This window comes from Homo sapiens, chromosome 8 (genome assembly GCF_000001405.40).
Source record: "Homo sapiens chromosome 8, GRCh38.p14 Primary Assembly".
Classification (NCBI taxonomy): Eukaryota; Metazoa; Chordata; class Mammalia; order Primates; family Hominidae; genus Homo; species Homo sapiens.
The window spans coordinates 62,951,256-62,963,605 of record NC_000008.11 but is presented as its reverse complement, the minus strand read 5'-3'; the positions used below and the strand labels follow the sequence as shown (position 1 = coordinate 62,963,605).

Below are 12,350 nucleotides of genomic sequence, written 5' to 3'. Positions count from 1 at the left end.
GAAGGAATTTTCAAGGTTTATTTATCCATCCAATACATGAATCCCTTCAAGAGTGAGGATAAGGCAACAGGAGAAGGTGTTTTTCTTTGTTAGCAGTAGTGTCAGTGAGGGTTTGGGGGAACTTGTAGGTATCCATTACATTTATCTTTAACACCAGCTCTGCCTCTAGCTAATATTTTCTGCTTCTGGGCTTTAGCAACATGGATTGGTGAAGCAGTGAAACAGGCTGAGCCTGTTCTTATGATGTCAGGTAGGAATTCTGGAAGTGTTACTTCAGGAGCTGGGAAACATGTCTGTGGGGAGTTTTTGCAGAAGACAGTGAGGCAACTCTGAAAGAGGGCATTCAAAGGAAAACCTATTGGCAAACCTGTGTTAGGTTTTATTAACAGATTGAATTTTAAAAAATCAAACAGGGTTGGGCACAGTGGCTCACGCCTGTAACCTCAGCACTTTGGGAGGCTGAGTCTGGTGGATCACCCGAGGTCAGGAGTTTGAGAGCAGCCTGACCAAAATGGTGAAACCCCGTCTCTACTAAAAATACCAAAAATTAGCCAGGCGTGGTAGCAGGCACCTGTAATCCCAGCTACTAGGGAGGCTGAGGCAGGAGAATCCCTTGAACCTGGGAGGTGGACGTTGCAGTGAGCTGAGGTCATGCCATTGCACTCCAGCCTGGGCAACAAGAGCGAAACTCCATCTCAAAAAAAAAAATTCAGACACAAAGATAGACAGAATAGTATTATGAATCTCTACGCATTCATCACTCAGCTTCAACTAAAATAAAAGTTATGCTATTAAAGTTTCACCTATCAACTAGCACCCCCCACAGCCTTTTTTGGCTAGAGTATTTAAAATCAAATCTCAACTATTATATCCTTTCATTCATATCTCCATGCGTCTCTAACTCAGTGATTCTTAACCAGTCGACACTTGCCAGTATCTGGAGACAGTAGTGGTTGTCACAGTTTGGTAGGGAATGGTGTTACTGGCATCTAGGCGGTACAGGCCAACAATGCTGTTAAATATCCCACAGTGGCACAGACCCACTGCAAAGAATTACCTTGTCCAAAGTCAAAAGTGTAGAGGTTGAAAGAACCTGCTCAATTGGTAAGAATTTCTTTTCTTCTTTTTACCTATTCATTAGCATACCTATCAAAATTGACAAAAATTTCTTAATATCATTTAATACTCAGCCCATAATCACTTGCTCCAATCATCTGGAAATATCTCATTACAATTGGTTTGTTGAAATTATGCCTTATATGTCTGGCAGCATCACTATGAAGTGCATATATTTATAATTTTCACTAATAACAAGGTAAATATAAAACTGATTAATTAAAAATCTTTCATAAGAATTCAAAGGACACAGAATTTTGTGAAATGTAGTATTTTTACTTAAGTGTCTTTTTTCTTTCTATTTCTACCCCCAGTCTATTATTTCATAAACCAGTGGATACATAAGTAGTTTCTTGGGGGATAATAGATTACTTACACATTTTCTATGTAGTAAACATGTATGTGCATGTGTGTGGGTGTGTATCCAACTATTTGTTGGAGTGATTCCTATCGTTGAGAACTGCCTGGGCCAAATTTATGCAAAAATCTACATTTTTGGGTAAACTCCCCATGACTAGAGTAACTTGCCCCAGTATTTGAGAATTCTTCATTTCCTAAAGCTGTACAAACATCAGATATCAATATTTGTAAGCATCGATAATGTAATTTATAATGAAATTTCTTTCTCATCTAGTAATGTTAACCATATCAAGATGAAGATCATATAGCCTTATAACTCATTTGTGCTATTCCATTTTCCTCTTTTCCTTTTGTTTTCACTTCCCTTGTAATGTGAGTCTGTTAGTACTGATTTCTGAAGAGTTCATTTATGACTAAAGATGTTAACATTTTGTCAAGAATTGCAAATATGTTTTTTTCTCATTCATTTTATTGTGGTGTTTTATTTTTTGGTTATACAGAAGTTGTGTTTTGAAATATAATCTAGTTCTGTTTTAAAAAAAGTTTTAAAACCAAGCAAACCACATATACACAATGTGTTTGACTATTGTGTCTCTTTAAATCAATAACAGTTTCCCTTCCTTTCTTCTTCTTCTTCTTTTTTTATTTGCTTTATACTATTTCTCACATGCTAGATTTGGCTGATTGCTTCCTTGTGGTGAGATTTAACTATTCTTGTATTTCTATAGTATCAGTCCAAGGTCAGGCTTGACTTTATGGCAAGGCATTCTATAGGTGGTGCTGTGCACTTCTTATTGTAGCACATCTGTGGACACAAAATGTCTCGTTGACCCACTTTTTTTTTTTTTTTGAGACAGAGTCTCACTCTGTCACCTAGGCTGGAGTGCAGTGGCACTATCTCGGCTCACTGAAACCTCTGCCTCCGGGTTCAAGTGGTTCTCCTGCCTCAGCCTTCCAAGTAGCTGGGACTACAGTCACGCACTACAACTCCTGGCTAATTTTTTTATTTTTTGGTGGAGACAAGGCTTCATCATGTTGCCCAGGCTGGTGTCGAACTCCTGACCTCAAGTGATCTGCCCGCCTCGGTCTCCCAGAGTGCTGGGATTACAGGCATGAGCCACCATGCCCGGCCTGGTTGTCCCACTTTTAATGATGCTATGATTGATCAATGGGTCTGCATAGAATACTTCGATTTTGGGGATCCTTGAGATCATCTCCCTCTTTCTTTCTCTTTTTCTCTCTCTCTGTTTGCAGACGTTTGTAGATATGTTAGTAGTTACTTAAGGGTAACTGCCCTCAAGGCAGAATGGAATCAAGTGTTTCTTCTGATAGAACTGTAAATGTTTCTTTTTCTATTGCTTTTCTAATCACTTGTGTGTGTGTGTGTGTGTGTGCTTTTTTCCTGCGTATTGTGTAATCTTTCCTGTATATTGTTTCTTCCCAGAACTTATCATAATATGGGGATTATAAATTTTTTTGATGTCAATATTAAGTGCAAAATATGTGTATTTAACATAAAATTTGGTTTATATCATTGGCTTTAATTTTAAAATCAGAGGATACTTTCTCTTGGAAACAGGGCAAAATGACTTTTTTTATGTTGTTGATTTTTTTTTTCAGGGGTGGTGGTGGACTATATCTCCACATCACTGCATAAATCTATTTTCTTGCCATTGAAATCAATGGCAAATACCCAGCAAAGTTCTGAGAAAGTCAGGAATTGATATTCTCCCTGGAGGACACTGTTCAGATATGGGCTTTCTGATTTTGGAAAAAGGCTTTATGTGCTTCACAAGGAAGCATGAGAATCAGGCTCCACAAATTTTAGGGGCAGAGAGTGAAGTCACATGTCAAAGGAAATGATCTGTGTTTCCTTTGACACGTGACTGGCCACTGGTCACAGCAAACCCTCTTGCATGTTGCCAGTTGCACTCTTGGCATCATTCCGTCCTAATAAAAACAGAGGTGCACTAACTGGATACTACGGTGATAAGTCTGAACTGCGTAAGCTATATACACACAGCCATTTCACTGCTACATAGTCAAATAAGTATATATCAGGATGTGTTCTTACAGTAGTCCATGACATGGTACAACCATTCTTATGATGCATCAAAAAGTTATTAATGTCAGTGACAAAGGGAAAGAGGTCCAAAGCTAGAGAAAGCAACGAGTCCTGAGTGCCACTGCATTGGTGCTAAGTAAGGCAGGCACACAAGGAAGCCCATCTCTCCTTCGGGACAACTAAGAAGGTGCTGAGTGCTTTACAGCTGCAGTGCTCTTGAGACAGCCCAGGAAAGTTAACGCCTCATGAAGTCCTTTCCATTTCCAGGGACTGATGGTAAGCCTCAGGGAACGGGGCTCCACCCTTAGTAGTGGGAACAGTGAGACAGCCACTGATAGGAGCGGATCACAGTCACCTTATAGTCACATGCCACAGAAGAGAAACAGCATGCAGAATTTGACATAGCTCAGTGCGTGCTCTATCTGGATAAATATAAGATGTGAAGGCTAATTAAGGACAAATGAAAACAGTATCAAGACAGAGTTATTCTATTCCTCTTTAGGTGCCTCCAGCTGCAGTTTACTAACACATGGCTGGTGATTGCTGGTTTTTAAATCAAGGTTTGAAAGCACATTACTCCACCTTCCCAACTCCTACACACACACACACACACACACACACACACACACACCCTGATTTGTCCTACTAGCTGGTACTTAATGTTGATGCTATAAATGCAAAATGGCCTGACATCAACTTACATATAGGGGTACTAATGCAAAACAGCTGTTCTCAGGAAAGTGCAGAGAGACGTGACCACCTCTGCATCTGTCCTACAGCCTGATCATCAGAGGTGGGTTTCCTGTGTACCCGGATTGTCAGAGACAGAAAGCAGGCAGTGAAAGTACCTGCAGAGCTCGCTGCAGGGCTACCCTGAAATAGGGATTGGCCTTGGCTGTCTTCTAGTACCTAGTTGCAATAGCAGCCACTCAATCAGCAGTGGCCACCTAGCATGTAGCAATTTTTGTGAAGAAAAATTAGCCTCCAGCAAAGGCAATCAGACAAGTTAAGATACCAAAGAAAACAAGTTTTCCTTTGGAAGCCTTAGAAAAAGATTTGCTGAAAGTTATGGGGGAATCTCAGGTCAGCTTTTCTCATCAAGTCTTTCTTAACTGCAGTCATAGGCATCATCCTCATGGAAATTTCTAACATAATCAGATCTAGCTCTACCTTTGCTGTAGAAGTCAGTTCTGGAATTCCAGCTGCTGTCCTTCTTTGATAAACTGCCTTGCTCTAATTATTTTTATGTGAAGAATTACTGCTACATGGAGCTTAATCTTCCCGGTACTCAGTTGCTAACCATTTGGATGGAAATACACCAGTCATGATTTTGACAAACTTCAATTTAGTTGCTCACTATGTTGTTCTCTGAAATTCCATATCTCTTTGATAGCTGTATATGTTTATGCCATGCTATTTTTCTTCCTGAGGGGTAAATCTGCTTTTGCTAACCCTCTTCTCCTGGTGTTACTGCTGCCCCTACTGTAAGCTGATGTGTAGGTATCCTTTTCAGAGCCACTGCTGCTGACCACTGGGTTCTGGGTTCTGATGATAAGAGCAGTCTTTACTCTTTCCTTTCATTGGTGGTGCTGTCAGTGAGTGGGGGTGGTGATGGAGTAGATCCCGGTGGAGACTCCATGGCAGTTATGGTGAGACTTATACCTCCCTCGATAGCAGTTGTGGTAAGATATTGAAACCCAACACGGATGACTCCTGACCTGTGTATCACATGTCCCCAGGCCAGACCCAGATAACCACCACTGAAAGCATCTCGATAGCTTTAGGCATAATGGTGGAGCCCTGGCTGCTGCAGGTCTCTTAGGGTCCTCACCGAGAGCTGTCAAGACACCTGCTCTGCTTAAGCCTCTGCTTCCTATCCGTTCACTCACTTTATACGAGAACTATGGCAAACATGAGATTAGGGAGTCATGAGCTTCAACTTTGTCTTCTGTAGAACGGCCAAGCCAATCAGCCTCCATGCTGGGGATACCCGTTTTCTTGTGCTGCTTTTTTTTCCCCTTAAAGACTTAATATTTTAAGAGCAGTTTTAGGTTCACAGCAAAATTGAGAGGAAGGTACAGAGATTTCCCAAATGCTCCCTGCCCCTGTTCCTGCCCTCACACAGCCTTTTCCATTATCAGCATTCCCTACCAGTGTGTTACATGTGTTACAATTGATGAATCTACACTGATATAGTCACTCGAAGCCTATCGTTTACATTAGGATTCACTCTTGGTGTTGTACATTCCATGGGTTTGGACAAATGTATGCTGAAATATGTCCATCATTCCAATGTCATACAGAGTAGTTCTACTGTTCTAAAAATCCTCTGTCTTTGCCTATTCGTGTCTCCCCTCCCGCAACCCTTGATCTGTGTACTGTCTCCATAGTTTTGCCTTTCCCAAAAAGCCATATAATTGGAATTATATAGCATGTAGCCTTTTCAGTTTGACTTCCTTCATTTCATAACATGCATTTAATGCTCCTCCATGTCATTTCATGATGCCATAGCTCATTTCTTTTTAGCATTAAATAATCCATGGTATGGATGTCCCAGAGTTCATCCATTCACCTACGGAGGACATCTTTGTTCTTTATCAAGTTTTGGTAATTATGAATAAAGCTGCTATAGGCCGGGCGCGGTGGCTCACGCCTGTAATCCCAACACTTTGGGAGGCCGAAGGGGGCGGATCACAAGGTCAGGAGATCGAGACCAACCTGGCTAACACGGTGAAACCCCGTCTCTACTAAAAATACAAAAAAATTAGCCAGGCGTGGTGGCGGGCGCCTATAGTCCCAGCTACTCAGGAGGCTGAGGCAGGAGAATGGCGTGAACTCAGGAGGCGGAGCTTGCAGTGAGCCGAGATAGTGCCACTGCACTCCCCACTGGGTGAAAGAGCAAGACTCCGTCTTAAAAAAAAAAAAGGCTGCTATAAATATCGGTGTGTAAGTTTTTGTGTGAACAAAACTTTTTAGCTTCTTTGGGTAAATACCAAGGAGCTCGATTGCTAGATCTCATGGTAAAAGTATGCTTAGTTTTGTAAGAAACTGCCAAAGTATCTTCCAATATAGTTATATTTATTCTGCTTTTGATAAATTGTGTCATCTTTTCAAAGTAGCTCAATTGTTATTTCTCAGGGAAGCCTTTCCTCGCTAAGCGAGAGTTAACCATTCCCCCTCCCGCATAAAATTTCCTTGGGGATAAATATTGTTTTGCATCTACCCTTTCTATGTAGATCTCCCCTCCTAGATCATTGGCTGCTAAGGGTCAAATCTCAAGTATCATTTATCTTTATATCTCTAGCACTTAGGCTGTGCCTGTTGTGCACAGTGTAGGCAATCAATCAGTGATAGTAAAGTGAATTAAACTGATTGATGTAATCAGTGGGCTTTTTTTTAGCTTGATATCATTACTTTAAAAAGAAAGAAACAAAACATGAGAGACCAAATCCATATGTGAACCACCTTACCCCTATCCCAACCCCACTTCCCCTATACACATTCCCATACAATTTGACTGTGGACACTTGAAAGGTGCACTTTGTGGTTATGAGCAGTGACACACTCAAACATGAGAATTAAGGCTTCCTGTACAATTCTGCAGTATTACCTAGGAATGAGCTGTTGGCTGGAAACTCTGCATATGGAGTTCAAAGCTACCTGTTCACATACATGTACCTGGGAATATGCTAAGGATTCTTCTGATCCCCTTATTAAAGTGGCTTCCTCACAAAACCTGGCTTTCTACTTCACTGTGATAAAAGAGGCTTAATGAAAGTCAAAGCCAGCATTCATTCCCCTCTCTAACAATTTCGCACAGAAGGTTGGCTTTTTCTCCAAGCTGTTGCTGGGTAGTGATATGGCATCATTGGATTCAATGGAATTCAATATAACGGGCTTATTAAAAGAAATCAAGTAGATTGACAGAGGCAGACTGGATAAATGCTGAAATATTTGCATACTGGTGAAGAGTACAGATACTGACCTCTTAAATTGTTTCATGCACAATGATTTCAATTCAGTCTTAGTTTGATTTTTAGATTTTTGCTTCCTTCATGGTTGAAAGGCATTCCATATTCATCTGACATGATAATATGCATAATCTGTCAAAGCAGAAGCTTGTTCTATTGCTTTCTGTAGAGAATAGCTTGTAGTTTATGCTATATTCAGCTATCCACTGCTAGGTCAGCAGTGAACAGGGGTGCTGAGAAAACCCTTGGAGCAGACAGTGGAGTTGATCAAAGCCTTTTAGGTGATCTTAAAAGTATGTTTTGGGTGTTTTTGATTCACAGAGATGGAAGTGACTTTAGAGAACATAAGTGGAAGTCACTTGCCTCTGGGCCATGCCACAGAACACCCTTTTGAGGTACATAGGTACATGGGCGTCAAGTTTTTGCAAATCATTCAAGAAGAAAATTTCATTATCAACATTTATCAAATGGAGTTTTTAATAACTTTCCCTAATAGAAGGATCTCTCTTAAATTGCAGCATTTTTCATATTGCAATTTCTCTGCTGAGTTTTTTTTTTCACAGTGGAGATGAAAGAAACCCTTCATCATCCTCTTATCACATAACAAATATATGAAGACTCTTTAAGTCACCACTAGGCATTGTCTTAGTTCTTTTCTCACTCCCAATGCACTAATCATCTTGATTATTGTCACAATCCCTGACAAGTTCCCCATATCTACAAACATCAACTTTTGGAACATATCCTTTATGAGCACTTAGTGATATGAGTAATGAGGTGGTGACTGCTTGGTTCTGGAGTGTTATATAGGGTGAATGTTCTTTCCAAATTGGATTTGCTTTAAGAAACCAAAATTTATTTAAACATCTATCATGTGACAGGCACAGTGCTGATTTGTGTTTCCTGTGAGCTATGTTTACTTTAGATCATTCTGCCAGAATAAAGTTAATTCAACCTGGGGAGGTAGAGGAATCAGTGTAGCCTTCTCAGATCTTCAATCCTCACATATGCTGGGTGAGGGAGCTGCATATTTGGGTAAGAACCACTGTGGCAAAGAGGCAGCAGGTGAAACTTTTCATATGTGTTTATTATACAAGCGACTATTTTACATAATTTCTTCTATCGCCATCAAATTACAGAACACTGAGCTGAAAGAAAAAAAGATCATCTGAGCAAGTCCATCATATCAGGTTGGGTGATGGTTTGCTACCCAGGAAAGATCTCAGCTCCACAACTTACTAATAGTGGGACTTTGAGAAAGTTGCCTAACCTCTATGAACCTCAGTTTTCTTATTTATAAAGTGGGAATATTAATTAGCACATTGCAGTGTTTTCATGAAGATTTAGTGAGATAATATATGCAAAGTGGTTAGTGTATGATAGCTATTATTAATTTATACAGTTTTATATGTGCTACTTGGAATTTTCTAGGAATGGAGTCACCCTATCTATTTCCATGTTTCCTAGTATTTTATTAATTAGGTGACTTAAGATTTCTTTCTTTTACTCAACTGAAATCTCACCAGTTTTAGGTGGTTTTGTTGTTGCTGACTTCCTTTCATGTCCTCTAAGAACATAGAAAACTTGTTCCTGAACTTGTTAGTCAAATGTTTGAGTACTGGGAAGAGTAATAGGCAGCTTTACATATATCATACACACATTATCCAATTTAATCTATTTCCCCCCTGTGAAACCATAGTATGGTGATAGAACAAGTCTCAGAGACACTGAGGAAGGCACCTGGATGTCACATGGAGGACCTGGATTCACTGCAGGTCTTTCTCCCCTTTTTACTTTGCTGTGCTGCCCCAGGACACATATTCATTCTTTACTTCTGCAGATTAAATAATCTCATTAAAAAATGTAGTTACCAACTATTGATAAGGGGAATAAGACAGAACTATTGTTTTTGAAATATAAATCATGTCACCAGCTTCAAATCCTTTTTGGAATGAATAATAATAATGATGATGTTGGGTTACATGTGAAAGGTGTGTTTTAAATATGAGTGGAAAATTAAACCAATGATTAGTAGTAGTAGGTTCAAATTATTTCACTTTTGGTTAGTTTTGGCTGAGTTAGAAGGATTAATATTTTCCATATCATCACACCTTTACTTACTGGTTTAACAGGCTTTAACTCAACATGATCCTGGTAGTAGGAGTGTGTATCAAGTCCACCTATGAAATCAACTGAAAATATAACATAGGCCATATGAATAAGTGTGTAAAAAATACACATAATACTAATGTTTAAAATAGAATGCATAAGAGCAAAGTTAACAAAAATATCCGTTCACCATAAAATGAAAAAATGTTTAGTAAAAAGGACTACTAAAAATATTGTCAATGAGCCAAAAAGAGGAAATTTAAAAAATACAGAAATAACCTGGATTCATAGGGTCTGAAAAATAAGTTGTTATTGGTTTCAGTAAAAAATGAAGTAATATTAAATAGCATGAGATTTTAAATAATGTGTTTGTCCTTAGGCATACAGACATGCCCTTTCTCCCTATATATCAAAAGATATACTGTCTCCTCTTGCTGCTAGAATCCTTTTTTTTCCTTAAGAATATGTATTGCATCATTAGAAAGGCATTTGAGAAGCCACACAATCTATCTCCAATGCCTTCTGTCCCCAAGCCACTCCCCAAAAATCGGCATCTGCCTTTTGCAAAGATTTTGTTTCCTCCCTAATGGCAGAGTAACTGGCTGTCTGTATAGACTTCTCATTTTTGTAATATTCTTTCCAGTTTCTTTTGGTTTTGATCAAAGCCTCAATCTTTTCTTCTCCCAATTCTAATGTACACGTATGATGTTTGTTTCTCCTGTTTCATAGTCCATTAAAGATACTAATTACTTTAAACCAAGCTTTGGTTGCATTATAGCACTCTAACATTAACAGGCATACAGGCATGTAGGAAAACTGAACTCTCAGGAGTGTGTGTGTGTGTGTTTGTGTGTAAATGCCAAGCAAGTTTGCTAAATGGAGGATATGTGTAGTATATTTTAGCCCAAATATTTTCCCAGATACTGTAATTTTGCCTCCATACAGAGTAGCATTTTTTTGGCAAAAAATTCATAAGACAAAACCCATAAATAGTATCTATTTATGATTCTTTTCACCAAATATAGACACTACAAAATTGTAAGACTTCTCAAATCAACTTCTATTCCTTCTGGTGCAGAAAATACAGTTTTCCAATTAAAAACTGGGGCTCCATTCTAAAATGTCTTTTCTCAAGTCAAGATATCTCAAAGGGAAATTATAAAATTAAAAAATCAATTCTTGTGCAACATTTTGAGTTCTCATTTGTCTTCCTTTGCTTTTGTGAGGAGATATGTCAATGTTTTCTGTAACCTTTCAATTATTGCAATTTATGAAGAGTTTTGAAAGTTTTTTTGGAGGTGCTTTGGTTTGTTGAATAATCAATTTAAGTTTTTCAATTGATCTTGAATGTAACGCAACTAAAATGTAGAAGATTCATTTATAAAAATACTCACAGACATTGTAAGAAACTTAGGTTGATTTACAAAGCAGTTCTTCAAAGGTCGAAATAGTCAGAACTCAGATTGATGAAGGGAAGGGAAGAGAGAAAATGTACATTCTTTCATGATGAATTTCTTTTTGTTTTCAACATTAGCCTCATCACAAAAATATTCTATTTTATTTACTCTAAATATATAGATTTTGAAAACACTTTGAATTTCTGTTTTCATTGGTAAAATAGTGTGGCTTTATTAGGATGCAGTTGTAAGTTTCCTGTGCACTTGAATTCCAAATACAGTTCTGCTTCATGTATTTTTTAACTTAGTAAGAATATTTTTTGTTTTTTTTAACCCATATGTTGTACTTCACAAAAATTGTATTGTATTATTTCCACAAAATAAATATATTTATCTTTAATATTTACTACTTAATTAGATTATGACAGGATTTAAAATAATATCAGAGTTTTACCTTGGACAGAATGAACATCTAAAAGGCTTATGCTTGCTGGGCATGGTGGTTCATGCCTATATTGCTAGCAATTTGGGATGCCAAGTTGGGAAGATTATTTGAAGTCAGGGGTTTGAGACCAGCCTGGCCAACATGGTGAAACCCTGTCCCTATTAAAAATTAAAAAATTAGCTGGGCATGGTGGCACACACCTCTAATCCCAGCTACTCGGAGGCTGAGGCAGGAGAATTGCTAGAACCTGGGAGATGGAGGTTGCAGTGAGCTGAGATCATGCCACTGCACTCCAGTCTGGGTGACAGAGGGAGACTCTGTTTCCAAAAATAATAAAAATAAAATAAATAAAAAATGAAATAAAATAAAGGCTTATGCTAAGCCAGGTGCAGTGGCTTATGCCTGTAATTCCAGCACTTTGGGAGGCCAAGGTGGGTGAATTGCTTGGGCTCAGGAGTTTGAGGCCAGCTGGGCAACAATGGGGAAACACCGTCCCCATTAAAAAAAAATTCAAAAATTAGCTGGACGTGGTGGCATGTGCCTGTAGTCCCAGTTACTTGGGAAGCTGAAGTGGAAGGATAGTTTGAGCCCACAGGGCAGAGGCAGAGGTTGCAGTGAGCCCAGATTGTGCCACTGCACTCCAGCTTGGGAAACAAACTCAGATCCTTTCCGCAAAACAAAGCAAACAAACAAACAAATTTAAAAGGCTTATGCTAATTCTATGAACTGGATTAAAAAATTAAAATTATTTAAATAATTTAATTGGTGTTCTGTTGAAAGCATTTGATAAACTAATGTAATTCCAGTATTATAAACTGGTATATAAGACTGATATCATTATTTTAACTCTGAGAAATTCTTCTTCTCCTAATGTGTCAGTGCATTAA

The 12,350-nt window shown here is 38.6% G+C and overlaps 1 protein-coding gene across 3 annotated transcripts in view; it reads right to left on the bottom strand.

Annotated features, from left to right (window-relative positions):
* NKAIN3 (sodium/potassium transporting ATPase interacting 3) overlaps positions 1-12,350 on the bottom strand; it is a 750,799-nt gene that overhangs the window by 36,047 nt on the left and 702,402 nt on the right. Inside the window, exon 6 of one of the 3 annotated variants that reach the window (NM_001304533.3) lies at positions 9,634-9,704. The exons of the other annotated variants lie outside the window; for them this stretch is intronic. Within the exon in view, the coding sequence (NP_001291462.1) occupies positions 9,634-9,704 (71 nt within the window). The remainder of the gene's footprint in view (positions 1-9,633; positions 9,705-12,350) is intronic. 3 annotated transcript variants of the gene reach the window in all.